At 44.6% G+C, this 27,286-nt stretch overlaps 2 protein-coding genes and 1 pseudogene across 4 annotated transcripts in view, besides 4 other annotated features; 1 reads left to right on the forward strand and 2 right to left on the reverse strand.

The window, feature by feature from the left end:
• Window positions 1–14,152, reverse strand: part of DNAJC18 (DnaJ heat shock protein family (Hsp40) member C18) — a 29,323-nt gene extending 15,171 nt beyond the window's left edge. The window contains exons 1-4 of the mRNA NM_152686.4: window positions 14,033–14,152; window positions 11,999–12,185; window positions 3,165–3,310; window positions 799–984 (exon numbers count right to left, since the gene is read on the reverse strand). Coding sequence (NP_689899.1) covers window positions 799–984; window positions 3,165–3,310; window positions 11,999–12,185; window positions 14,033–14,072 — 559 coding nt within the window. The 5' untranslated portion in view covers window positions 14,073–14,152. The remainder of the gene's footprint in view (window positions 1–798; window positions 985–3,164; window positions 3,311–11,998; window positions 12,186–14,032) is intronic.
• Window positions 12,222–12,722: an enhancer, noted in NCBI's record as "H3K4me1 hESC enhancer chr5:138773284-138773784 (GRCh37/hg19 assembly coordinates)". NCBI's record gives its function as "activates a minimal SCP1, AML or CMV promoter by ChIP-STARR-seq in naive H9 embryonic stem cells {active_cell/tissue: H9 hESC(naive)}" and the evidence as "EXISTENCE:reporter gene assay evidence [ECO:0000049][PMID:30033119]".
• Window positions 13,710–13,819: a silencer, noted in NCBI's record as "silent region_16413". NCBI's record gives its function as "represses an Ori minimal core promoter by ATAC-STARR-seq in GM12878 lymphoblastoid cells {active_cell/tissue: GM12878}" and the evidence as "EXISTENCE:reporter gene assay evidence [ECO:0000049][PMID:35858748]".
• Window positions 14,023–14,522: an enhancer, noted in NCBI's record as "H3K27ac hESC enhancer chr5:138775085-138775584 (GRCh37/hg19 assembly coordinates)". NCBI's record gives its function as "activates a minimal SCP1, AML or CMV promoter by ChIP-STARR-seq in naive H9 embryonic stem cells {active_cell/tissue: H9 hESC(naive)}" and the evidence as "EXISTENCE:reporter gene assay evidence [ECO:0000049][PMID:30033119]".
• Window positions 22,096–22,175: an enhancer, noted in NCBI's record as "active region_23232". NCBI's record gives its function as "activates an Ori minimal core promoter by ATAC-STARR-seq in GM12878 lymphoblastoid cells {active_cell/tissue: GM12878}" and the evidence as "EXISTENCE:reporter gene assay evidence [ECO:0000049][PMID:35858748]".
• RNU5B-4P (RNA, U5B small nuclear 4, pseudogene) lies at window positions 22,534–22,645 on the forward strand (annotated as a pseudogene).
• The window catches only part of ECSCR (endothelial cell surface expressed chemotaxis and apoptosis regulator), a 14,184-nt gene continuing 10,084 nt past the window's right edge, over window positions 23,187–27,286 (reverse strand). For 2 of the 3 annotated variants that reach the window (NR_121659.2, NM_001293739.2), the window contains 2 exons: window positions 23,705–23,801; window positions 23,187–23,397 (listed from right to left, as the gene is read on the reverse strand). Coding sequence is in view for 2 of the 3 variants with exons in the window: in NM_001293739.2 (NP_001280668.1) it covers window positions 23,392–23,397; window positions 23,705–23,801 (103 nt within the window). In the remaining variant the exon portion in view is untranslated. Of the gene's footprint in view, window positions 23,536–23,704; window positions 23,802–27,286 lie in introns of all 3 variants that reach the window. The other variant, NM_001077693.4, reaches the window with a different exon arrangement.

Below are 27,286 nucleotides of genomic sequence, written 5' to 3' on the forward strand. Positions count from 1 at the left end.
GGCTGGTCTCGAACTCTTGAACTCAAGTGATCCACCTACCTTGGCCTCCCAAAGTGTTGGGATTACAGGCGTAAGCTACCGCGCCTGACCCTTCCTTGCCTTTTTCAAGGTCCTTGTTCCCAGCTAGGTTTGTTAAGGATAGAGTATTGGCCTATTTTACCCAGTAGAAAAATAAGACAATAGGCAAGCCAAGTGAACCAGCTGGAGCTAAAGCGTGCTGAGCTCTCCTGACTTCATTTAAATAGTCCTTTGCAACTAGTGAGAGAGAACCCCGAAAGGCTAGAAGAGAGAGAGCATTAGGGCCGTGAATCCTATCTGGCATGTTCACGTCTGCTTCCGTGCCCAATACCATATTGTGTCACTGGTATCTTTTAATAGCAACTCATAAAATTCAATTTACTTCCTGGGCATTGAATTATACCAACTTCCAACTTGCTGGGGGGTACTTTCCTATCTTCTATCTTTGTAAGTGCTATTTTACACAACAATAATAGGCATTTTGTTACTTATTTATAAGGCACTTAAAAATATCTAATCCTCACAGTGACCCTGTGAAGTAGGTATTATTAACAGCCCCATTTTTCAGGAGAGGAAACAGGGTCAGAGAGACTAAATGATTTGGTCAAAATTATGCACAGCTGGGGGCTGGAGACTTGCCTCAAACTCCTGCTCAACTGATTCTAGATCCTTGCTGTTTCCATCATACCATTGTACCTCTATTCAGATTTTCAAACAGGAGCTTGCTGAGAGCCATAAATAAAGAAATATGTTTAAGAATGATAATTTGGGGAGACTAACCTGTAGGAAAATGTCCTCCAAAGAAGACGTTGAACAGCTCTTCTGGAGTGATGTCAGCTTCAAAATCCCTGTAATAATTATAAGGTCTGGCTCGAGGGGCAGTGAAAGTCACCTGTTCATCTCCGTATTCATCATAGCGAAGTCTCTTATCAGGATTGCTCAGGACTGCAAATGCATTTCCTATTGCTGCAACCAACAAGAACCAGCACATGAGGACACAGTCTTTGCTATGGCTGAGAGTGATCACAGCAGCAGTGACAAAGAGCCTAGAGGTGACTCGTGCTGGACAACTTCGCAGGGGCCCAAGAAGAGATGCTTGGGCCTAGAAAGTTCTCCACAGTGCTTGCCCTTCAGGTTTTCCCTGATCGCCAGAAACAACAACATTGGAATCACAGGAATTAAGAACTTCTGCTGCAGTGAGTTAACTCCCAATCAACAGTCCTGTAGTCATCCCAGCTGTCCTAGAAGTTAGGAAGCCCCCCTCAGTTCGGGTTCCCAGTCACCACAAGTCCCAGGCATGTTGGGGAAATGTTCTCCAACTGGTCAGCACTCTCATTCATAAAAAATGTGTTCTGGCCAGGTGCAGTGGCTCATGCCTATAATCCCAGCACTTTGGGAGGTTGCAGTGAGCCGAGATCATGCCACTGCCTTCCAGGCTGGGCAACAGAGTGAGACTTTGTCACACACACACACACACAAAGAGTGCTCTTTACTTTAAAAAAAATTTTTTTAGAGATAGGGTCTTGCTGCATTGCCCAGACTAGTCTCAGATTCCTGGCCTCTAGTGATCCTCTCACCTTGGCCTCCAAAAGTTTGGGATTATAGGTGTGAGCCCTGCATCTGGCCAAAAAAGTGTTCTTATTTCACTTGAGTGCAATAGTTTATGTTGGAAACAGTTCACACATCAGTAGTGATATTTTAACTTGTAGTCCAAAAAATTTCCTGAATTCTCTTCTGAAACAATCTTAGTAGAAACCTTCCTGCTTGACTAAAAACAAAGTCTTCATCATAGTCTTATTTCAGTTTACTTTAGACAAATATTTTCTGAAATTAAGAAATGTATTTCCAATGTCTCAAGGAGGGTTCAAAGGCTGAATAGTTACATATGTTTACCAACATGTCTCCTTTCTATGTACAGACGTGCAAACCTTGCCCAATTTCATTTAAACATACAATCCGTAGCACCAATCAATAGAAACCTCAAAAAAAAGAAATCTTTTAAGGCATCCCGCACTCCCTACCTGTAATTCAGTCAACACTGTCAGAAACACAGAAAGAGTATTTCTTCATGATTCTTTTACCTGGGGAATTGTTAAATGTTTGCCTTGCCACTCTGTTACCTACAACTCTATATATACATATGTACATATGTATTGTAATAATTATACATTTATTTTGCTGAACCATTTGAAAATAGGCCACAGATATTACGTCACCTTGCCCCTAAATACCTCAACATATATCTCCCAAGAAGAAAGACATTCTCCTATGTGATCACAACACCATTATCACAGCTAAGAAAATTAACATCAGTCCATTATCATCCAATGCATCCATGCAAGATCAAGTATAGCATTTAGTTTCTTTTAAGCTAAAACTGTCCCACCTTTTTTGTTTTTCATTATGTTAAATTTTTTGGAAGAACAGATCAGTATTCTTGTAGAATGTTTCATATTGATTGTTTCCTCATTATTAGATTCAGGTCAAACATTTTGGCAAGAATACCCCATAGGCGACAACTACCTAGCACTCAATGGTTTTAGCATTCACTGAAGATCTTTGCCTGTAACAATGACTTGGAGTGCAGTGGTGCAATCACAGCTCACTGCAGCCTTGACCTCTGGCTCAAGCAATCCTCCCACCTCAGCCTCCCAAAGTGCTAGGATTACAGGTGTGAGCCACTGCGCTCAGCCTGAAGAATATATTTCTTAAAATATCATGGAGGATGGGCACAGTGGCTCACGCCTGTAATATCAGCACTTTGGAAGGCCTAGGCGGGCAGATTACTTGAGCTCAGGAGTTTGAGATCAGCCAGAGCAACATGGCAAAACCCCATCTCCACAAAACATACAAAAATTAGCCGGGCATGGTGGTGCTCACCTGTAGTCCCAGCTACTCAGGAGGCTGAGGTGGGAGGATCACTTGAGCCCGGGAGGTGGAGGTTGCAGTGAGCTGAGATGTCACCACTGCACTCCAGCCTAGGTAAAATCAAGTGGGAGCTATGCTGATTATCACTATTTAAGAGGTGTGGCAGGGGGAAAAAACCCTCCTTATGGCCTTATAAAACAACTATGGGGAAGGCTAAAAGCAACTTATTATGACCAACCATGACAAGGGCACCATTGAGCATTGGTTCAGGATCAGACCTTTGAAAGCATCTGTTGCTCCAGGAGCACAGTTCTTGTCAGGGTGAAATTTCAGGGCGAGTTTTCTGTAAGCTTTCTTAAGCTCTTCGTCACTAGCATCTCGAGAAACTCCCAGAATTTCATAGTAATTTCTGCATTTCTTGATCCTAAAAAAAATCACAAGCATGTATGTCTATAAAGGTCCCTTTTGTACAACTAATTGCAAGATAATACATCGATCCTACCTCCAATCTGTGGGACCCAAAACAAACCTATAAGAAAATTAGTGCACACGTTAATGAAACATTCAAATTCATTAACAATGTCCTTCTCCCACCCAGAACTTAATGCCTTTCAAAGTACTTTTACATCTACTATTTACTCTTCCTATATCCCTGCAAGTGAGTAGAACAAGTATGCTAATTGTTACACCAAGGTTCAGGCTAAGATCCTGAGAGATGAACTACAGGACAGCAAAGCCAGAAGAAACAGTTAATCACCCTGTTTGTTTATAATTTTTTCTCTCTTTTTCCTATGGCTATCTTTTTAAACTGTATTTTTTGCTTTTTTTTTTTTTTTTTTTTGAGACGTAGTCTTGCTCTTGTTGCCTGGGCTGGAGTGCAATGGCGCGATCTCAGCTCACTGCAACCTCTGCCTCCCAGGTTCAAGCAATTCTCCTGCCTCAGCCTCCCGAGTAGCTGAGATTACAGGGATGCGCCACCAGCCCTGGCTAATGTTGGTATTTTTAGTAGAGATGGGGTTTCACCATATTGGTTAGGCTGGTCTCAAACTCCTGACCTTGTGATCTGCCCACCTTGGCCTCCCAAAGTGCTGGGATTACAGGTGTGAGCCACCGTGCCTGGCTAAACTGTGTTTTTAAAAAGTTAACATACACATGATAGAAGAAAAAGAGCCAACAGAACTAAAGTTTATACAGTAAAAATTTTCCTGCTTCATCATTCCCTGTCCCCCAGTTTCCCACCACAGGGATAACCATCATTAGAAGTTTTCTGTGGATCCTATGTACAGAGAGTACAGGTATAGTCCTCTCCATTTTTTTTCTTGCCTAAATGGAAACATATTATAATCACTTTTCTACATCTTGCTTTAAAAAAAAATTATTTTGGGCTGGGCGTGGTGGCTCACTCTTGTAATACCAGTGCTTTGGGAGGCTGAGGCAGGAGGACTGCTTGAGGTGAAGAGCTTGAGGCCAGCCTGGGCAGGATGGTAAGACCCTATCTCTATGAAAAATTTTAAAAAGTTAGCCAGGCATGGTGCCTTGCATCTGGAATTCCAGCTACTCAGGAGGCCAAGGCAGGTGGATCACTTAAGCCCAGGAGTTTGAGGCTGCAGTGAGTTATGATTGTTCCACTACACTCTAGCCTGGGCAACAGAGCATGATCCTGTCTCTAAAAAACAAACAAAAAACAATTTATCTTGGAGATCAATCCTTAACATATAGAGATGAGAAGTATAGAATAATAGTTTAGACTAGACAGTAGTTTAGATTAGAGTGGCAGTTCTGAACTTTTGATCTCAGCAACGTTTTATACTCTTAAAAATTACTGATATGCATGGTACAGGAAGCGAAAAAAAATTACTGAAGACCTCAAAAGAGCTTTCATTTATATGACTTCTATCAATCCACATCTACTATACCAGAAATGAAAACAAAAAATTTTTAAACAGTGATGATGTAATTACATGTCATGTAGCCTCTCAAAAACTCCACTGTATAATCATGAGAAAATTAGTGAAAAAGACAAGTAACATGTTTATATCATTATGACTACAGTTTTAAACTTGCAGACCTATCCCCTAAAAGGGTCTTGGGGTTCCCCAACCACCCTTTGAGAACTGCTGGATTAGAGATGAGCTCTGGAGTCAAAATGCCTTGGTTTAGCTTTGATTTTGCTGTGTACTTAACCTCTATAGCTTGGTGTTATCTTCTGAAATGGGCTAATAATTATATTTCACAGAGTTGATATTGTGATTAAATAAAGTCTTCATCAAAGTGCTTGAGAGCATTTAATACTAAATAAATATTACCTAGTACTATATATCTACCTCTTTTTTTTTTTTTTGAGACAGAGCCCAGGCTGGAGTGCAGTGGCGCGATCCTGGCTCACTGCAACCTCTGCCTTCTGGGTTCAAGTGATTCTCCTGCCTCAGCCTCCCGAGTAGCTGTGACTACAGGCTTGCATCACCACACCCAGCTAGTTTTTTGTATTTTTAGTAGAGACAGGGTTTCACTGTATTGGCCAGGCTGGTCTCGAACTCTTGACCTCAAGTGATCCACCTGCCTTGGCCTCCTAAAGTGCTGGGATTACAGGCATGAGCCACCACGCCTGGCCTACCTCATTCTTTTTAAAATCTAAATATTATTGCATTGTATCAATGTATAATATATACATTACCTACTAATTTGTATTGAGAAGGTCTTCAGTCTTTTGCTACTATATAATTCAGTAAGGCAGGCAGAGATTCGGAGCTTCGTTGGGAAATTCATCGTAAGTCAGTAACACAGGTTGGACTCTAATGCAGGGTCTGGGCTGTCAGCAGATCCCTTCCACATGAGCTGCCCATGGGGAGTCTTTGAATCCCCAGCCCAGTTTCCAATCTCTGCTTCCATGGCAGACACTCAGGACTCCCTCTCCTAAATTTACTATTTGTTTAATAATGCTTTATTGAGAAATAATCCACGTACCATAAAGTTCACCCTTTTAAAATGTACAATTCATTAGTTTTTAAATACATTTTTAGAGGTGTGCATCTATCACCACTATCTCATTTCAGGACATTTTTATCACCCCAAAAAGAAACTCTATACTCCTTAGTAGTCACTCCCACTTCTCCCCCAGCCCCTGGGACCCACTAATCTACTTTCCCCTCTATAGATTTGCTTATTCTGAATATTTTACATAAAAGGAGTTATATAACATGTAGCTTTTTGTATCTGGCTTCTTTCACTTACTGTAATTTTTTCAAGGTTCATCCATGTTGTAGCATGAATCTGTTCATCCCTTTTTGTTACAAAATAGTATTTCATTGTATGGATATACACCATGTTGCTTGTCCATTATCAGTTAATGGACATTGGGTTGTTTCCCCTTTGGGGTCGTTATGAATAATATTGCTATGGACATTCATGTACAAGTTTTTTTGTGGAAGTATATTTATATTTCTCTTGGAATATACTAGGAGTAGATTGCTAGGTCAATAATCTTAATTTTCTTCTGAACCTTAAGAGGAATTGCCATATTGTTTTCCAAACTGGCTGCATTCCTACCAGCAATGTACAAAGGTTCCAATTTATCTGCTTCTTTATAAACACTTATCATCCACCTTTTTGACTATAGACATTCCAGTGGGTATATCTCATTGTGGTTTTGATTTGCATTTCCCTAATGACTAAAGATGTTGAACAAGTTTACATATGCTTACTAACCATATATATATCTTCTTTATTCATATATGGAGGAATATATAGGAGGAATGCCTATTCAGACCCTTTGCCCATTTTTCCAATTGGGTTATTTGTCTTCTTATTGTTGAGTTTTAAGAGAACTTTGTACGTTCCAGATAAAGTCCCTTATCAGATATACAGTTTTTAAATGTTTTCTCCCATTCTGTGGGTTGACTTTTCACATTCTTTTTTTTTTTTTGAGATAGAGTTTCACTCTTGTCATCTAGGCTGGAGTGCGATGGCATGTTTTCGACTCACTGCAACCTCCTCCTCCCAGGTTCAAGCAATTCTCCTGCCTCAGACTCCCGAGTAGCTGGGATTATAGGCACCTGCCACCACACCCAGCTAATTTTTGTATTTTTAGTAGAGACGGGGTTTCACCATGTTGGCCAGGATGGTCTTGAACTCCTGACCTTGTGATCCACCTGCCTTGGCCTCCCAAAGTGCTGGGATTACAGGCGTGAGCCACCGCGCCTGGCCACAGAACTTTATTTTTTTTTAGAGACAGGGTAGGGTCCCTGTCACCCAGGCTGGAGTGCAGTGGCACGATCATAGCTCACTGCAGCCTCCAACTCCTGGGCTCAAGTAATTCTCCTGCCTCAGCCTCCCAAGTAGCTGAGACTACAGGCATGCACCATAACCCTGAGTTAATCCAAAAGAACTTTTTAAAGGCAGTCCCTTAATGGCAAAGTACTTCCTGACTTCACGAAGAAAATATCAATGGAGCCAGTCCAGAAAAAGGGCTCTCAGTGCCCAGGCCTTCTTGCTGTACAACCAAAAGGCTGGCAGCTGGTGTTCATCTTTTCCATTCAAGGCTCAGGGGTTAGCAACTTTATATATAATGGCAGCCCCCATCATAAACTGAACTGCATTTGCACAAAATAGCAGAGTTAGCCTATCCCTTCCTGCCTTATATCCTGATGCTCACTTCTCATCCTTACTAGTACAATGTCCTTTGTGACATTTCTTTTCCAGAATAGGGCACTTTTGTCTGCACTAAAAAGTTGATGAGGTAGGGCTGGCCGCAGGGTTCACACCTGTAATCCCAGCACTTTGAGAGACTGAGGTGAGTGGAAGCCTTGAGCTCAGGCATGCGATAAGTAATAATCACATCATGGACTGTATGCCTTTCTTATAGCAGTCCTGCACCCATATAAAAGCTTCATTTTCAATATGAGATGAAAAGGTATTTTGCAAAAAGTGCAATGTTTTCTTACCTGCTGGCATTAAGTGCAGGTGGATCACAAGGCCAGGAGTTTAAGACCAGCCTGGCTAACATGGTGAAACCCCATCTCTACTAAAAATACAAAAATTAGCTGGGCATGATGGTGGGCGCCTGTAATCCCAGCTACTTGGGAGGCTGAGGCAGGACAATCGCTTGAACCTGGGAGGTGGAGGTTGCAGTGAGCCAAGATCGTGCCACTGCACTCCGGCTTGGGCGACAAGAGCAAAACTCCATCTCAAAAAAAAAAAAAAACAAAACTGGAGAACTGCAAGAGATCACTTTTTACTGCTATACATAATTTACTCAAGAGACAAACTGCTCACAAAGAGATGATTAGCATCATGTGGCATTTTAAGCAGATACTCCCAATACTTGAGGCTCAGCAAAATAACAGGAGCTAACTACAAAATTATTACAGTAGTACAGTACTACTGTTAATTTTATGCAGGTGTGATTAATACTGCACCTGTATGTTTACATTTTTCTCAAATGCAAATGGTACCATGTAGTCTCAAGTGTTTGTGAGCATATGTTTTGATAGATTTTCACTTTTTATAATAGATTTGTGTATATTTTATGATAGTAAATGATAAAATAGACTAGAATCTAGATATATTTTATGCATTCATATAATTTTCTTAATTTTTTGGTATGTCCATGCTCCATGGTTTGTGAGATGGTGATGATGATGATTATTATTTGAGACAGAGTTTCGCTCTTGTTGCCCAGGCTGGAGTGCAATGGCACAATCACAGCTCACTGCAACCTCTGCCTTCTGGGTTCAAACAATTCTCCCGCCTCAGCCTCCCAAGTAGCTGGGATTACAGGTGTGCGCCACCACGCCTGACTAGTTTTGTATTTTTAGTAGAGACGGAGTTTTGCCGTGTTGCCCAGGCTGGTCTCAAACTTCTGAGCCCAAGTATTCTTCCTGCCTTGGCCTCCTAAAGTGCTGAGATTACAGATGTGAGCCACTTTTTCAAATTGTTGCAAATCTAAAAAATTTTTCCAATGTATTTATCTTTTAAAATTGACATATAAAAATCCATGGTTCAAACTGATGCCACTCAAACCTGTGTTGTTCAAAGGCCAACTGTATCTCTTTTTTAAAACTATTTATTTATTTATTTGTATATAGAGACAGGGTCTTGCTTTGTCACCCAGGCTGGATTGCAGTAGGGTGATCATAGCTCACCTCAGCCTCGAACTCCTGGGCTCAAGGGATCCACCTACCTCAGCCTTCTGAGTAGCTGGGATTTTGGGTGCATGCCACCACACCTGGCTAAATTTTTATTTTTAGTAGAGACAGGGCCTCGCTATGTCGCTCAGGCTCGTCTTGAACTCCTAGCTTCAAGAGATCCTCCTATCTCAGCCTCCCAAAGTTTTGAATTACAGGCATGAGCCACCACACCCAGCCTCAACTATATTTTCTTAATTTCATTTTTTTATTGTTCATTGCTAGTATATAGAAAAATGATAATTTTTGTATATTGATCTTATATCCTGTAACTTTGTCCAACTTGTTTATTAGTTCTAACAGTATTTGTGTGTGTGTGTGTGTGTGTATTCATTAGGATTTTCCATTTACAAGATCATGTCATCTGTGGATGTAGTTTTACTCTTCTTTCCAATTTGGATGGCTTTTATTTCTTTTTCTTGCTTAAATGCCCTGGCTTGACCCTCTAGTACAATGTTGAACAGAGTGGCAAGAGTGAACAGACATACTTGTCTTGTTCCTGATCTTGGTGGGAAAACACCTAGTTGTTCACCTTTAAGTATGATGTTAACTGTGGATTTCTGTAGATGGACTTTATCAGGTCGAGGAAGTTCCCTTCTATTCCTAGTTAAGTGTTTTTATTATGAAAGAGTGTTGGGGCTGGGCGCAGTGGCTCACACCTGTAATCCCAGCACTTTGGGAGGCCGAGGCGGGCAGATCACAAGGTCACGAGACCATCCTGGCCAACATGGTGAAACCCCGTCTCTACTAAAAATACAAAAATTAGCTAGGCATGGTGGTGCGCGTCTGTAGTCACAGCTACTCAGGAAGCTGAGGCCAGAGAATCGCTTGAACCTGGGAGGCAGGGGTTGCAGTGAGCCGAGATCGTGGCATTGCACTCCAGCCTGGGTGACAGAGCAAGAATCCGTCTCAAAAAAAAAAGAGTGTTGGATTTTGTTAAATGCTTTTTCTGTACCTATTGAAATGATCGTGTGATTTTTGTCCTTTATTCTATTAACATGGTATGTTACATTGATTGACTTGTGTGTGTTAAACAATCCTGCAATACTGGGATAAATCCCACTTGGTGAAAATATATAATACTTTTTACATTGCTGTATTTGTTTTACTAGTATTTTATTGAATATTTTAAAATCTATATCCATAAGGGATATTGGTTGATAATTTAGACTTCTTATGATATTTTTGTCTGGTTTTGGTTACAGAGTTAATACTGGTCTCAAAGAATGAAGCCAGCTGGGCCTGGACTTTTCTTCATTGGAAGTTTTTTTTTTTTTTTTTTTTTTTTTTTCAGACAAGGTCTCCCTCTGTCACCCAGACTAGAGTGCAGTGGTGCTCACTGTAGCCTCGCCCTTCCTGGCTCCATCAATCCTCCTACCTCAGCCTCCTGAGCAGCTGGAACTGCAGGTGTGCACCACCATGCTCGGCTAATTTTTGTGGGGTCTTTTTGTTTGTTTTTTATTGTACTAATGAAGTTTCGCCATGTTGGCCAGGCTGGTCTTGAACTCCTGGGCTCAAGTGATCCTCCCACCTCAGCCTCCCAAAGTAATGGGATTACAGGCATGAGTCACCATGTCCAGCTAGAATTTTTTTGATTGTTAATTAAATCACCTTATTTGTTGTAGGTCTACTTGGGTTTTCCTTTTTTTTTTCTTTTTCTTTTTTGGAAATAAGGTCTCTGTCACCGAAGCTGCAATGCAGTGGCACTACCATAGCTTACTGTAACCTCAGATTCCTAGGCTCAAGTGATTCTCCTGCTTCAGTCTCCAAAGTAGCTGGGACCACAGGCATGTGCCACCATGCCCAAGTATTTTTTTTTTCTTTTTTTAGAGATAATGTATTGCTGTGTTGCCCAGGCTGGTCTCAAACTCCTGGTCTCAAGCAATCCTCCTGCCTCAGCACCCCCAAAGCTCTGGGATTACAGGTGTGACCCACCATGCCTGGCCTCCATTTTTCTTGGGTCAGTTTCAGTAATTTGTGTCTTTCTAGGCATTTGCTGATTTTATCTAGGTTATCTAATTTGTTGGCACACAATTGTTCATAGTATTTGGATTGGTAGGGATATCCCTCTTTCTTTTTTTTTTTTTTTTTTTTTTTTGAGAGACAGGGTCTTGCTCTGCTGTGCGATTATGACTCACTGTAGCTTCAACCTACTGGGTTCAAGCAATCCTCCTGCCTCAGCCTCTCAAGTAGCTGGGACTACAGGTTGGTGCCATCATACCAAGCTAATTTTTGTATATATATATTTTTTGGAAGAGAGGGGGTTTCACTGTATTGTCCAGGCTGTCTAGTTCCTTAAGGTAGATTAGGTTACTGATTTGGAGTCTTTTTTAAAAAAATAAGCATTTAGAGCTATAAATTTCCTTCTAAGCACTGTTTTAGCTGCATCCTATACATTTTAGTACGTCGTGTTTTCATTTTCACTCATCTCAAAGCATTTTCTAGCTTTCCTAGTGATTTATTCTGTGACTTGCTTGCTTATTAGGAGCTTGTAGTTTAATTTCCACATATTTGTGAATTTCTCAAATTTCCCTTTGTTTTTGATTTCAGAGAACATACACTGTATGATTTCAATCTTTTTAAATTTATTGAGGCTTGTTTTATGACCTAAGATATGGTCTATCCTGGAGAATATTCTATGTATCCTTAAGAAGAAAATCGTTCTGTTGTTGTTGAAAGAATGTCCTGTAGATGTGTGTTGTGTCTAGTCGGTTTCTGCTGCCTCTCTTAAAGTAGAAGCAGGGTAGTCAGTTCATGTTATACCCTAATATTCCACTTCTATTCAGTCTTCCCTCTGAGGTCAAGAAGCTAGTATGCCTCAATTATCATCATCATCATCATTATCATCAGTCAATACTTACATAGCACATCCAGGCACTCTTCTAAGCACTTTCCATAAAATCACTCATTTAATCTCACCACATGCTCACCTTTGTACCCCAAGCAGCTGTTCCTCACTATACGTGGAGTTCCCCTCACCCTGCCGGGTCTGAGTCCACTCATTCTCAGACTTCTTTTCCTTTTGTGCCTTCATGCAGTTACAGCAGCCACAGGGGTCATGACTCTCAGGAGGTGTGTCTTCTGGGTATTTGTTTCTTCTAACTGCGTCAATGTAAGCTGCAAACAACAGCCCCTCCATTAGGTCTCCATCTGACCCTGAAAATCAACTTTGCAACCTGCCTTTCCTCTCTGGGAGGCTGCTCGTAAGCATGAGAAGGTAAGCATGATGGCCAGGGCTAGAGGCGTCATGCTGACTTTTAAGCACTCATACAAAGCTGAATAAACATGTTTCTCTGTGGTCCGTGGTCAGAAGAGACACTGCTCGTAAAATAGTATTTTTTGTTGCAGTGCCTCCCACCCCTAAAATTTAAAGTAGAGAGGAGTTCAATTCTTTTACACTAACAATTATAGAACTAATATATACCAAGGAACTTGGCTAGAAGATCAAGAGGGCGGATGGGTAAGATCTACTCCTGACCACAAAGAGGTTAGTTTAATGCAAGCTTGTCCAACCCGCGGCCCACAGGTGGCATGTGGCCCAGCACGGCTTTGAGCTCAATACAAATTCGTAAACTTTCTTAGAACATTATGAGGGCCGGGCGCGGTGGCTCACGCCTGTAATCCCAGCACTTTGGGAGGCCAAGGCGGGCGGATCACGAGGTCAGGAGATCGAGACCATCCTGGCTAACACCGTGAAACTCCGTCTCTACTAAAAATACAACAAATTAGCCGGGCGTGGTGGCAGGCGCCTGTAGTCCCAGCTACTCGGGAGGCTGAGGCAGGAGAATGGCGTGAACCCGGGAGGCGGAGGTTGCAGTGAGCCGAGATCGCGCTACTGCACTCCAGCCTGGGTGATAGAGCGAGACTCCGTCTCAAAAAAAAAAAAAAGAACATTATGAGATTTTTTTTTGCAATTTTTTTAAAGTTCATTAGCTGTCATCAGTTAGTTATTTAGTCGTCAGTTAGTGTATTTTATGTGTGGCCCAAGACAATTCTTCTTCCAATGTGGTCCAGGGAAGCCAAAAGATTGGATACCCCTGGTTTAAAGGGAGAAGATTCAATAACAACACCTGCAGAATGTAAAGAGGGTCATAAGCAATACAGTCAAAAGGGGCAGAGCACTCATGTCTTCTCTGGAGGACCTGAGAAAGGCTTTAACAACATCTTTCTTCCGCTTAACATCCCTCAGCTACCTCCACCCACTGCTCCTGGACAGTCTTCCTCTAAGTCGGCCTGGCTAACTCCGACGCATCCTTCTTGTCACCATTTGTAACACTTTCTGCAAGAAACCTCCCTTGACAGCCAGTCTGCGTTAGGTACCTTGTAAGTGTGCTCTCCAAATCCCTGACCTTGCTGTGTAGCCCAGGCGTTTTGTATTATTCGCCCGTTTTGTAATTGGCTGTTCAGTCGTCAAACTCTCTCAGTGGGCTGCGAGTTTTGTGAGCTAAGGGACCCATGTCAGTCAAATCCCCACTGCAGAATCAGCATTAGGCGGGGCACACAATAGGTATTGGATCAATATTTTTTGCCTGACTGTAGGGTGGAAAAGGCTGGTCCTGATGCCGGCTGGAGCGACATGATCAAACAGGGACTGAAGGTCAGGTGGCCCAGTTAGGCGAAAGATAAGGGCCAGGTTAGCAAGCTGCGGAGAGACCGCAGCACCCCACGGGCCCTCCAGTCACCTTGGCATGGGCGGGGCCTGACAGCTGCGGGCCCTGGGCGGGGCACGGGCGGGGGCGGGGCTGGGGGCCGGAGGCAACAAGTCGTCACCGGTGACTCTGGGCTCGCGGTCGGTCCCCAGCTTCCCTACCCCATCCGCAACCCTACTCAGGCTCAGCATCTTTTCACAGGCCTCTATCCATCACCTCAGACCCAGGATCTCAGCCCTTGTGCGTCTTCAGGATCCTCATCCCTGATCTCTCCCGAAGGCCGCCCTATCCCTCCTTCAGGCGGGGACCTAGTACCTTCCGTCCAGCGCTCCCCGCTGCCCAGAGTCGCCGCCATATCGGTTCCCAATCAGCAGGTCCGCCGAGCCTCCCCCGTGCCCGAGGCTGAAAGAGAAGGGGGCGCGGAGCGCGGGGCACGCTGGTCATTGTAGTCCAGTCCATATGAGCTCCCGGGGCACTGGACTACAACTCCCGGCAGGCTCTGCGCCAGAGGCCGTGGGAGACGCAGAGAAGTGCTCGACCTTCGTCAGGAGATCTGTGGAAGAGTGCTGCTGCCAGCTGCCAGCTGCCTGCAGCACGGCTCTTGGCTTTTCCTCATTTGTAGAGTTGGGATAGTGGCTTCGGCCCTGCCTAACCCTAGGGACATCCAAGGAGGGGCGACTGAAGTCCTGCCTGGAAAGGGCTTCGCAAACTATAGGCTAGAGGGTGACAGTATGACTATTATGCTCCTCAGGGATGTCTTTTTGAAGCATACGCTAATGCCTGTTCTGTGCAGTCAGTGGTAGGCCCTGGAGATTCAGAGATGGGTTTTGGGGATGCGGAACCCAGCCTTTGGAAGCTTGAGTCAGGAAAATAGAAAAGTGATGTAGATTTATGGGGTTGGAGGGCAATCTCAGTATGTCCCTACTGCCCCAGCTCCTCAGGCACTGGACATCAGAGGGTATCGGGGTGGAGAAAGAAGACATGGAAAGGTATTGGGGCCGGCATGAAGAGCCTCCATCTTTGCTGTTCCTGTCCTTCCTCCAACCCATCCTACTCCAACACCCCTCTGACACTTTTCTCCTCTCTTCCAGTCTAGTTATCTCTTTAGCCCATTCGTTTCTTTTCTGAAGGACCAGACATTGAGATTAGTAAAAAGGAAATGAGGAAATAAATATTCTTGCTGTTCCTCATCCAGGTATGGATGGAACCTAGCAAAGAATAAAAGCAACACTTTCTTCATAGGTGGATGGCTACAGTTCATCCCCAAACAAAAAATTACCCAGAATTAACTGAGGTCTTACCCAAGAAGACCAAATCAATCATGATATCAACTAGCACCTACTTAGGCAGTTGGGGAGAGATGTATATTCCTGGACATAAACTTGGAAGGGTAAAAGCACCAAAGGGCATGCAGTTCCAGCCCTTGCCTACAGTCATGGCCCTGGCATCACTGACATTATGCCCACTTAAGAACTCAGAGAACGGCCGGGCGCGGTGGCTTATGCCTGTAATCCCAACACTTTGGGAGGCCGCGGCAGGCGGATCGCGAGGTCAGGAGATCGAGACCATTCTGACCAACATGGTGAAACCCCGTCTCTACCAAAAATACAAAAATTAGCTGGGCATGGTGGCGTGTGCCTGTAGTCCCAGCTGCTCGGGAGGGAGGCTGAGGCAGGAGAATCGCTTGAACCCAGGGGGCGGAGGTTGTAGTGAGCCAAGATCGCGTCACTGCACTCCAGCCTGGGTGACAGAGTGAGACTCTGTCTCAGAAAAAAAACAAAAAACAAAACTCAGATAACAAGGCCTTTCAAGTGGAAAAAGCACTGGTCTAGAAGTTGTATAGGTGTTATATTAATAGCTGGGGTTTTGCCACAAATCATTGCGTGATCCTGAACATCTCCTTTTTCCTTCTTCTTTGGCCTCAGTCTCATCACCTATAAAACGAGAAGGTTGGATTCAATTAGTAGTTTTGTTTGTTTGCTTTTTGAGACAGAGTCTTACTCTGTCGCCAGGCTGGAGTGTAGTGGCATAATCTCGGCTCACTGCAACCTCTGACTCCCTGGTTCAAGCGATTCTCCTGCATCAGCCTCCCGAGTAGCCGGGACTACAGTCGCACGCCACCATGCCCAGCTAATTTTTGTATTTTTGGTAGAGACGGGATTTCACTATGTTGGCCAAGATGGCCTCAATCTCCTGACCTTGTGATCTGCCCGCCTCAGCCTCCCAAAGTGGTGTGATTACAGGCGTGAGCCACCGCACCCGGCCTCAATTAGCGGTTTTTAAATTGAGGAATCCTTAAGGCTTAATGTGCAGATGTCTCTGGAATCTTCTATTGAGGAGTGGGAGCGGGGAGGAAGGCATAGCAGGGAAGGCACTAGCACCTCACCCTTCTTCAATCAAAGAAGCTCTGTTTTTTTCTGTTTTGTATTTTGTGGTCTACTAAAGGAAAGAAAACCTACATGTTTGAAAACTACCAAACCAGTTGACCACTAAAGGCTTGTGTCATTTGTAATATCAGTTTCTCCTGGAGCACTTAAAGTCAGTGTTCTTCCCTCATCCCCACCCCCATAAGCACTGAGAAAGTAACAGTTGTCTAGAAATTTGGTCATTTTCACTTAATTTAGGAGGAGGAATTTAGCATAGTGGTTAAAAAATCTGCATAGGATTGCCGTAGGATATAGTAAGATAATGCTTGCAAAGCTTTTAGCACCTCATCTGGCATGTAGTATGTGTTTAATAAATGCTGACCACTGTTATAGACTGGCTCAGAGGAAGAGAAACCATTTTTTATAGTTTGACATTGTAAATTAGGAGCAAAGGGGTATATATGGGGTATATCATAAGGTCCTGGATATAACTAACTGGACCCCATTCCTGTCTATCTGGCAATCATTACCTGCAAATAAGACAAGAAGCAAAACACTACCAAAAAGGGCTGGGAAGTTGCTTGTCCATGTACCCTAACCCCTGAATCCAGCCACTAAAACTGGTGATTTTCTCCCTTTCAGAAACAGAAGAAGATGGCAAAAGTGAACTAGTATGAGAAGGTTTTGGGTCATCCTAAATCCAATGAATTATGGATGTCCTTAAACTTGAGAGGCAAAGGAGGCCCCAGAACCATGAGATGAGTCAAAAGCTCAGCTCTAGGACACTGGACCTATGACCAGCTAACTAATCCACGGAGCAGTGTACTCACAGAAAGCTGGATCCTGAAGGTCCTTCTTGTGCTCTGCAGCTGAGGGAACTGATCAGGGACATCCATCAGGTGGTTGAATATAAAAAGGAAGTTCTTCTGGTTTGGGGAGGCTAGACCGCCTGCTCTAGAAGATGGACAGCTGAGGGTGGGATAGACCTTGGAGTCCAGGGGCACAGGGAAAAGGTCTGGAGGTACTACCTGGAGATGTTAGAATACCATGAAGTCAGAGGTGTTTGGCTGAGAGTGGGCTGTTAGAGCACTGTAGGGGTTAACTGGATTGAGAGGAGCAACTATGAATTATGAGACTATCTAGGAGCAGAGCCTAGGTTCAAGAGTATTGGACAAGATTTGGGAAGCTGGGGCCTCTTCCCAAATCTTAGCTGCTGTCTGGTAGCTAAGCATCCTCTCTCCTCATGCTCTGAAACCTTACATCCCCTTCTTTTCCAGACTTCTTTTCATTTACTTCTAGAACAGTAACAAAAATGGTTTAGCATTATGACCTTCTCAAATATTGCCAAGTATCCACATGTATTCTTCAGTTTGTTTACACCTCAACTAACACTTCTGGATGAATTTTTTTTTTATGATCGCATCACTTGGACTAACGCGAAACTCTAAAGCTCAACATTAAGAATACTTCTGTGACAGTTTTTGCTTAAACTCATCAACTAGTCAGCAAAAATAATCCTCACTGTAAAGTTCAATTTCTGTGTTTTGTAAAAGAGGAAGCTGTGGGCCCAAAGAGTATAGGATGGAGATGCCAGTCGAAAAGGACCCACAGGAAAAGTGAGAGGGTAACTGGGAAGGAGATAAGGGAAGAGAAATTGGGGTCTCCAAGGCAGTTCTCAAAGAGAAGGAGGTAGATGTGGAAAGAAGTTTGACGAAGAGAGAAAGGAGGACATCCACAAACCCAGGAAAAGACTGGTGGACAGAATCACACAGTGTTTTCCAGCACATTCAAATTTAATAGAGTAGTACTAGCTGGGCTTGGGGAAATTGTGTGCCAGAACTAGGTCAAGGGGGCCTGCAATGATCCTTCATCTGCTAAACCATTTTACCTTAGGGCCAGCCTCAGATTTCTCTCAGTTTTCTCCACTTACTTTATTTTTTTGAGACAGGGTCTTATTCTGTTACACGGGCTGGAGTGCAGTGGCGCTATCACAACTCACTGTAGCCTTGATCTCTTGGGCTCAAGCGATCCTCCCACCTCAGCCTCCTGAGTAGCTGGGACCACAGGCACATGCCACTATGCCCACTATGCCTGGCTTTTTTTTTGTTTGTTTTTAAGATATGGGATCTCACTATATTACCCAGGCTGGTCTGGAACTCCTGGGTTCAAGCAATCCTGCCCCCGGGGACTTCCCAAGTGTTGGGATTAAGGCGCCTCCACTTACTTACATGTTGAACTGTAATGGATTCTTGCTGGTGATACTGAGGTCTGTCCTGTGCCCTATATGATTGAGATGCTGCCCCATCCAGCCCTAGAAGAAAGAAGCTGAGTAAATGATCCTCCTGTCCCACTGGGCCTGTGTGTCTGTGCTGGTTTATTGGTTGCCCTCCCATAGGATGAGGGAAAAAATGAGAGAAGGACATTCTGCAGCTAGCCCCCAATCCCCGCCACCTGTTCCTGTTTAAGGACCACGTAGTCCTGTGTGAGAAAAGGGAGGAAGTCATCTTGTAAACAATCATCATCCTGTTGTCTAGACATGAAGGAAGAGATAGGGTTTCAAGGAAGCTGCAAGGGCTGCAGAAGGCTGCACTCAGATTTCCTGTCAGAGGTGGCATCTTGGATTTGCATAAATAGTAGGCTCCTCCAGGAGAAACCTCTCTATTAGAGTTTGCTCCAGAGCAGAATTCAGCATTTAATTCATCCTCAACCCCTTCCCAAAGGATAGAGTTACTTAGCAACAGGAAAATCCACATGGCTTATGTGGTACTGCGGTGTCAGTGTCAGGGTAAAAGCCTTTCAATCTCAAAGATTATTAATACCAGTTGTCTCCCTCTTCCCCCACATATAAATACCTTATGACTAACAGCTTATATACGCAGGTCATTGCCCAGAGTCAGAGGAAAATGTGTGGTTTTATAATGAAGATGACAGCTGAGTTACTTAGAATGAAGCCCCATGTCCTTGACCTGATTAGTCCAGTATGATGAGCAGCTGTACTCAGTGCCCATGGCAGGCAGAATAACAACAGCACAAACAGAATCCTAGACATTGTTATGTCACCTGAGGGGTTCCATCCCAATGGTGGATGTTGGACCAGAAGTGGCTACTAAGTCATGTGCTGTTGGCTGTGAGATTTAAATCAAATATATATGAATTATTTAAAAAATACTAGCCAAGGCCGGGCATGGTGGCTCACACCTGTAATCCCACAACTTTGGAAGGCTGAGGTGGCCGGATCACCTGAGGTCAGGAGTTCGACACCAGCCTGCCCAATATGGTGAAATCCCATCTCTACTAAAAATACAAAATTAGCCAGGCGTGGTGGTGGGTACCTGTAATCCCAGCTACTCAGGAGGCTGAGGCAGGAGAATCACTTGAACCTGGGAGGCAGAGGTTGCAGCGAGTGGAGATCGTGCCATTGCACTCCAGCCTGGCAACAAGTGTGAAACTCCACCTCAAAAAACAAAAAACAAAAAACAAACAACTAACCAGGTGTGATGGCTCACACCTATAATCCCAGCACTTCGGGAGGCTGAGGGGGGAGGATGTCTTGAGCCCAGTAGTTTGTAACCAGCCTGAGCAACGTAGCAGGACCTCATTTCTACAAAAAATTTAAATAAATTAGCCGGTTGTGGTGGCACACGTCTATAGTCCCAGCTACTTGGGAGGCTGAGGCAGAAGGATCATTTGAGCCCAGGAGTTTGATGTTGCAGTGAGCTATCATTGTGCCATGCCACTGCACTCCAGCCTGGGAGGCAGAGCCAGACCCTGTCTTCTCTCCCCTCAAAAAATACTGCAGTATTGCTTTCGTAGGTTAGGTACCCCACAAAATAGACTCTGAGACGCTGAGATTTGCATACTAAAGGTTTCTTAGTGAGCACCCCTGGAACAACAGCTATGAGGAGTAAGGGAAGTAGGAATGGGGGCAAAGGAATTGAGGCAAGGGGTCCAGGTCTTCATTCCCACTCTTAGCCCCCATCAGCCAATCATCAACCAGCCAACAATCCCACAGCTGGGGAACAAGCGCCTTGATCCTGAAGTGGGACCTGGGTGCTGGTGCCCTACTCCAAGCTGTCTGCTACAATTGCTCACTTCCCAAGTATCTCCATGTTTATTATCCCATTTTACCTAGCCACTAGCCTGTGAGGTAGCCAGGGCCAGGTAGGGCGCATTCTTCCCTGTTAATACACAGGAGAAATGGAACTCCTGAGAATGTGAAAGGCTTGTCCAGAGCTGCCTGCAACTTGTCTCTGGCTCTCACCCAGAGTGATCTCTACTTAGCACATTGTATTCATTTTTTCCTACGTCCAGAGTCTATAGAACTGTGGAATGTAAGAATGAGAAAAGATAGTGAAGGCCAAGTCGTCCAGCCAGCTCACTTTAAAACCCGCCAGGCATGGTGGCTCATGCCTGTAATCCTAGCACTTTGGGAAGTCAGGGCAAGAGGATCACTTGAGCTCAGGAGTTTGAGACTGGCCTGGCCAACACGGCAAGAGCTTGTCTCTACAAAAAATTTTTAAAAATTAGCTAGGTGCAGTGGCTCATGCCAAGAGTCCCAGTTACTTAGAAGGCTGAGGTAGGATTGGTTGAGCTCAGGAACTCAAGGCTGCAGTGAGCCACGATTGTACCACTGCACTCCAGCAGTGGTACAAAAAAAAAAAAAAAGTAAAGATATAAGAGAACAGGCTTGGAGGAGGGGGACAATTGCACCCAAAGTCTGTGGCAGAGCCCAATCTTATGATCAGATTTCCTTCACCCAAGAGCCAGTTTAGATTACCTAGGAAGTGCTGGGCACAGTGTGTCATGCAGGAGCTACAGACATGGGCAGGTTACAGGCCCTGTCCTAGGGGATTTTAGAATACAGTAAGTTCTCTTCTCTTCTCCTTTTCTTTTTTTCCTTCCTTCCTTCCTTCCCTTCCTCCCTTCCTCCCTCCCTTCCTCCCTTTTTCTTTCTTTCCCTCTCTTTCTTTCCTTTTCTTTCTTTCTCCTTCCTTCCTTCCTTCCTTCCTTTTCTTTCTTTCTTTCTTTCTTTCTTTCTTTCTTTCTTTCTTTCTTTCTTTCTTTCTTTCTTTCTTTCTTTCTTTCTTTCTTTCTTTCTTTCTCTTTTCTCTTCCTTTGTTTTCTTTCTTTCACATCTTACCCTGTCACCCAGGCTGGAGGAGAGTGGTGCAATCAACCATGGCTCACTGCAGCCTCTACCTCCCAGAAGCAAGTGATCCCCAGCCTCCTGAGTAGCTGGGACCACAGGTATGTGCCACCACACCCTGCTAATTTTTGTATTTTTTTGTACAGACAAGGGCTTGCCATGTTGCCCAGCCTGGTTGATATGGTTTGGTTCTGTGTCTCCACCAAAATCTCATCTTGAATTGTAATCCCCATAACCCCCAAATGTCGAGGGAGGGATCAGGTGGGTGGTGATTGGATAAAGGGAGTGGTTTCCTCCATGCTGTTCTCATGGTAGTGAGTGAGTTCTCATGAGATCTGATAGTTTTATACGGCAGTTTTTCCTGATCTTGCTCACTCTCTCTCCTGTTGCCTTGTGAAGAAGGTGCCTGCTTCCCCTTCCATCATGATTGTAAGTTTCCTGAGGCCTCCCCAGCCATGCAGAACTGAGTCTACTAAACCTCTTTCCTTATAATTACCCAGTATTTCTTTATAGCAGTGTGAAAATGGTCTAATACACTTGTCTTGAACTCCTGCCTCAAGCGATCCTCTGGAACCTTGGCCTCCCAGAGTGCTGGGATTACAGGCATGTGCCACTACGCCCTGCTCACTCGGTTTCTACAGTCTCATTTTAATAATTTTAATGAGACAGAGGGGATGAAACTTGTTGTTCTAGCCTGTCTCTCTCATCACCTTGAGAAGTCTGAATCAGGAAAAAATAGCATATTGTTGCTTCAGAATGAGTAAGCTGTGTTCTCCCTATGTTCCAAATTGCCAATTAAGTTAAATACTCCCGAAAGACACACATGGATGACTCCTCCCTTGATTTTCCCCAAGATTCATTTCCAGACTAGTGTCATGGTAAACATGACTAAGACTAAGAAAGCAGACACCTCCTTTCTTTTCCTCCTTCTCTTTAAATGACTTTCCAGTACTTCTACAATCTTTTATTCTATATTTGGACACAAGATAACTGTTGTATGGGGTAAAGTGGGTGGGGTTTGTGTTGATGAAGTCACAGACCTATCTTCACCGCAAACCTTCCCAGGGTTCATCCCATAGCTAAGACCAAAGTGATGCATGTCTACCCAGGGGCAGGCAGAGGACATTTGCCCTTTTCTCATTCACCTCTCCCCAAGAGGTGACTTAGGAACTTCCCTAAGAAGTTTCCTAGTCAAAACTTCTTTCTTGGTGACGACTGGTCACTGTTTACAGCCCCTTGTTTCTCTCCTCTATTGGAGTGGTTAGTCAGTCGCCTCAACCCTACTAATAAAAATAAACCAGGTGATACTCTGGTTTCTCTTCAGATCATATAAATCTTTCACCTTTTACTAAAGATTCCTGTGGAGAGTTTTTGAGTTTTTAGCTAATTTTTTGAGCCTTTGCTTTAGCAAGGCTAGTATAAAGAAGAAGAAGAAGGGGGCGAGGGGGAAACAATGGCTGGGTGTGGTGGGTCACACCTGTAATCCCAGCAGTTTGGGAGGCCGAGGCGGGTGGATCACTTGAGGTCAGGAGTTCGAGACCAACATGACCAACATGGTAAAACCCTGTTGCTACTAAAAAAATACAAAAATTAGCCAGGCATGATGGCACACGCCTGTAGCTCCAGCTATTTAGGAGGCTGAACCAGGAGAACCACTTGAACCCTCGGGAGGCAGAGGTTGTGGTGAGCCAAGATCACGCCACTGCACTCCAGCCTGGGAGACAGAGTGAGACTCCATCTCAAGAAAAAAAAACAAAAGCAACAACAACAAAACCCAGGTGAACTTGATAAAACCTGACACAAAGTCCCTTCTATCGACCATCCAAGTTTCTCAAAGAGCTGCCCATAGGGGCAGAAACCTGCATGTATGTCTGTTCTAGGAAACAAGGCCCAAAAGCTGCTAGAACATACTGTTAAGAAATGTGCATGGGAGCATAGACCTTAAAAGTAATTAGACTGCAGGCTAGAAAATAATTTTAATGCAAAGTAGAAAGTATCAATCCACCTCATCACTTTCCTTGCTCTCTCTCTGTCACCTCCTCTTTCCTGTGGCTCTGAGGAGGTGGGAGAAGCAGGCAGTATTTCCACAGCAGCTGTCCATACAGGAAAGAGTCTCCCCTGTTGGTAGCTTGCTCCCAGATCTGGGGCAATGCTAGTGTCCTTTAGATCTAGAAGCAGACATGAAACAATAAAATAATTTACATGTGGTTCATTGCCTCTACTAATTCCATCTCTTCCTCCTTGTAGTCACAGGGCAGCTGCATCATCCTTGGACTCATGGGGACCCAAAGTTGCTTTTAAAGAACCTGCAAAATAAATGCATAATGGGGAAGGGTGAACTTTTTAGGATTGGCAGGGTACAGAAGAGGGGAGAAAAGCCAGAGTCTTTGAAAGTATCTCCTTTCTGGCCTGAAAGTAGGAGGAGGAAGGGAAAGGTGAATTTGGGGAAGGAAGGCAGGAAACAGAAAAATGTACCTTCTCTGCTGAGAGACTTTGTTTGCCATTATTCATGTTGATGTTCTTCATGGAGATAAGGGTGATGCTGTCTTTCTCTCCATTGGCTGTGGAGCAGCTGGGGGAGGAAGGGGGTCTGGGTTAAAGAGAGGAGGAGGGCAGGGCAATGGGGAGTCAAGGAACTGTGAGGTTGTTGAGCCTTAGACCTTTGTCTCAAAAAATCTATATTTTGGTGGTGGATCATGATGAAATGCGAGTGTGCTTTGAAGACCGAAAGACTGCATTTATTTATTTATTTAGAGATGGAGTCTCGCTCTGTCGCCCAGGCTGGAGTGCAATGGTGCAATCTCAGTTCACTGCAACCTCCACCTCTCGGGTTCAAGCGATTCTCCTGCCTCAGCCTCCTGAGTAGCTGGGATTACAAGCACGTGCCACCATGCCCGGCTAATTTTTGTATTTTTTAGTAGAGACAGGATTTTACCATGTTGGCCAGGCTGGTCTTGAATGCCTGACCTCAAATGATCCAGCCATCTTGGCCTCCCGAAGTGCTGGGATTACAGGTGTGAGCCACTGCACCTGGCCAAGACTTGCATTTAAATTTTGGTTTTACTACCTACTACTTGTTTGATCTTTACCAAGTTACAACCTCTATTAAAGCCTCAATTTTATTTTTTTAGTTTTTATTGAGAGGGTCTTGCTCTGTCACCCAGACTGGAGTGCTGTGGCACGATCACAGCTCACTGCAGCCTTGACCCCCTGAGCTCACACAATCTACCTGCCTCAGCGTCCCAAAGTACTGAGATTACAGGTGTGAGCCATCGCATCCGCTAAAGCCTCAATTTTTTTTTTTTCCCCTTGAAACGGAGTCTTGCTCTGTCACCCAGGCTGGAGTGCAGTGGCACCATCTCAGCTCACTGCAACCTCCGCCTCTGGGTTCAAGCAATTCTCCTGCCTCAGCTTCCCGAGTAGCTGGGATTATAGGCACCTGCCACCGTGCCCAGCTAATTTTTGTATTTTTAGTAGAGACTGGGTTTCAACATTTTGACCAGGCTGGTCTTGAACTCCTGACCTCGTGATCCACCCACCTTGGCCTCCCAAAGTGCTGAGATTACAGGCATGAGCCACCGCGCCTGGCCTAAAGCCTCAATTTTTAAAATGTATAATGGAGTAATGTCTCGGCTTACACCTATAATCCCAGCATTTTGGGAGGCTGAGGCAGAAGGATCACTTGAGACCAGGAGTTTGAGACCAGCCTGGCCAACATAGTGACATCTTATATCTATTAAAAAAATTAAAAATTAGCTGGGCATGGTGGCACATGCCTGTAGTCCCAGCTACTTGACAGGCTGAGGTGGGAGGATCATTTGAGCCCTGTTGGCATCACTGCACTCCAGCCTGGGCAACAGAGCAAGCCTGTCCCTTAAAAAAAAAAAAAAAAAGGCTGGGCATGGTGGCTCATGCCTGTAATCCCAGCGCTTTGGGAGGCTGAGGTGGGTGGATCACAAGGTCAGGAGTTCGAGACCAGCCTGGTCAACATGGTGAAACCCTGTCTCTACTAAAAATACAAAAATTAGTTGGGTGTGGTGGCTCATGCCTGTAGTCCCAGCTACTCGGGAGGCTGAGGCAGGAGAATCACTTGAACCTGGGAGGCGGAGGTTGCAGTGAGCTGAGATTGTACCACTGCACTCCAGCCCAGGCAACAGAGCAAGACTCCATGTCAAAAAAAAAAAAAAGTAATATATACCTTGAATAATTGCTATAAAGATTTGAGATAATATTATAAAATATATACCATTGTGTTCGGCACATAAGAAGTATTCAATAAGTGGTTCCTAAGCTTAGAGATAATGTCTTTTTATATTAGAATCTGAATTCCTACACTTTTCATGATGGGGTTATAGAGGGTTAGCCCTGGTGTTGAAGAGTTTCAGTCCATCTCCTGTCATTTGATTGTTCCCTTTCAGGTCTGCCCCTGTCCTGCCCACCCCAGCCCTGGCCTCAGAGGAGCCTGTCAGGATTGTATGTGTGTGGTATGTGTGTGTGGTGTGAGGGGTGTATATGTGTGGTATGGGGTATGTGGTGTGAGGTGTTGTGTGTGTGTGTGTGGTGTAATGCATGTGTGGTGTGTGTGTATGTGGTGTGGGGTGTGTGTGGTATGGGGTGTGTGTGTGGTATGGGGTGTGTGGGGTGTGTGTGTATGGTATGGGAGTGTTATGTGTCATGTATGTGATGTGTGGGGGAGTGTGTATGTGTGGTGTGTGTGGTGTAAGGTGTATATGTTGTGTGTATGTATAATATGGGGTACATATGTGTTTTTTATGTGGTGTGTGGGTTTGTGGTGTGTGTGTGGTTTGGTTGGGTGTGTGGTGTGTGTGTAGTATGAGGTATGTGTGTAGTATGAGGTACGGGGTGTCTGTGTGTGATGTGTGTGGTTTGGGTGGGTGTGTGGTGTGAGTGTGTATAGTATGAAGTGTGTGGTGTGTGTGTAGTATAGGGTACGGGGTGTGTGTGTGTGGTGTGGTGTGTGTGTGGTGTCTGTGTGTATGGTATGGGGGGATGTGTGTGGTGTGTGGGTGTGTGGTGTATGTATGTTGTTTGGGTGGATATGTTGGGTATGGGGTGTGGGGTGTGTGATGTGGGTATGCGTGGTGTGTTTGTGGTGTGTGTGTGGTTTGGGTGGGTGTGTGGGGTATGTGTGTGGGGAGGGTGGGTGTGTATAGTATGGGTATGAGGGTGGGTATGGTGTGGGTGGGTGTGTAGGGTATAGGGTATGGGGTGCATGTGTAGTATAGGATGTATGTATGTCGTGTGTGTGTAGTATAGGGTGTGGGGTGTGTGTGTTTGTGCTGTGGATGTGTGGTGTATGGGGCATGTTGTGTGTTTATGATGTATGTGGGATGTGTGTATAGTATAGGGTGTATGTGTGGTGCATGGGGTGTATGTGGTGTGTGGGTGTGTGTGTAGTGTGGGGTATGGGATATGTTGTGTGTTTGTGGTGTATGTGGGGGTGTGTGTATAGTATGGGATGTGTGTGGTATGTGGATGTGCATGGGGTGTGTGTGTATAGTATGGGGTGTGTGTGGTATGTGGATGTGCGTGGGGTGTGTGTGTAGTATATGGGTATGTGTGAGTAGTGTGGGGTGTGGGATGTGTGGTGTGTGGTGTGTAGGGGTGTGTGTGTATGATGTGTGGGGTGTGTGGGTATATGTGTATAGTGTGGGGTGTGGGGTGTGTGGTAGGTTTGTGGTGTGTGTGTGTGTATAGTATGGGGTGTGTGTGTGTGATATGTGTGTGGGGTGTGGTGTGTGTGATGTGAGGCCTGTGCTGTATTTGAGGTGTGTGTGTGGAGGGGTGTATAGTATGGGGTGTGTGTGGTTCGTGGGGTGTGTGTGGTAGGTGGGTATGTGTGTGTAGTGTGGGGTGTGGAGTGTGTGGTGTGTTTGTGATGTGTGTGGGGAGGTATGTATAGTATGGAGTGTGTGTGGTGTGTGACGTGTGGGGTGTGTGTGGTGTGTGGGTGTGTGGGGGGTGTGGGGCATGTGTATAGTATGGGTTGTGTGTATGGTGTGTGATGTGTGGGGTGTGTGTGGTGTATGCATAGTG

The sequence above is a fragment of the Homo sapiens genome, chromosome 5 (assembly GCF_000001405.40).
Source record: "Homo sapiens chromosome 5, GRCh38.p14 Primary Assembly".
Lineage (NCBI taxonomy): Eukaryota > Metazoa > Chordata > Mammalia > Primates > Hominidae > Homo > Homo sapiens.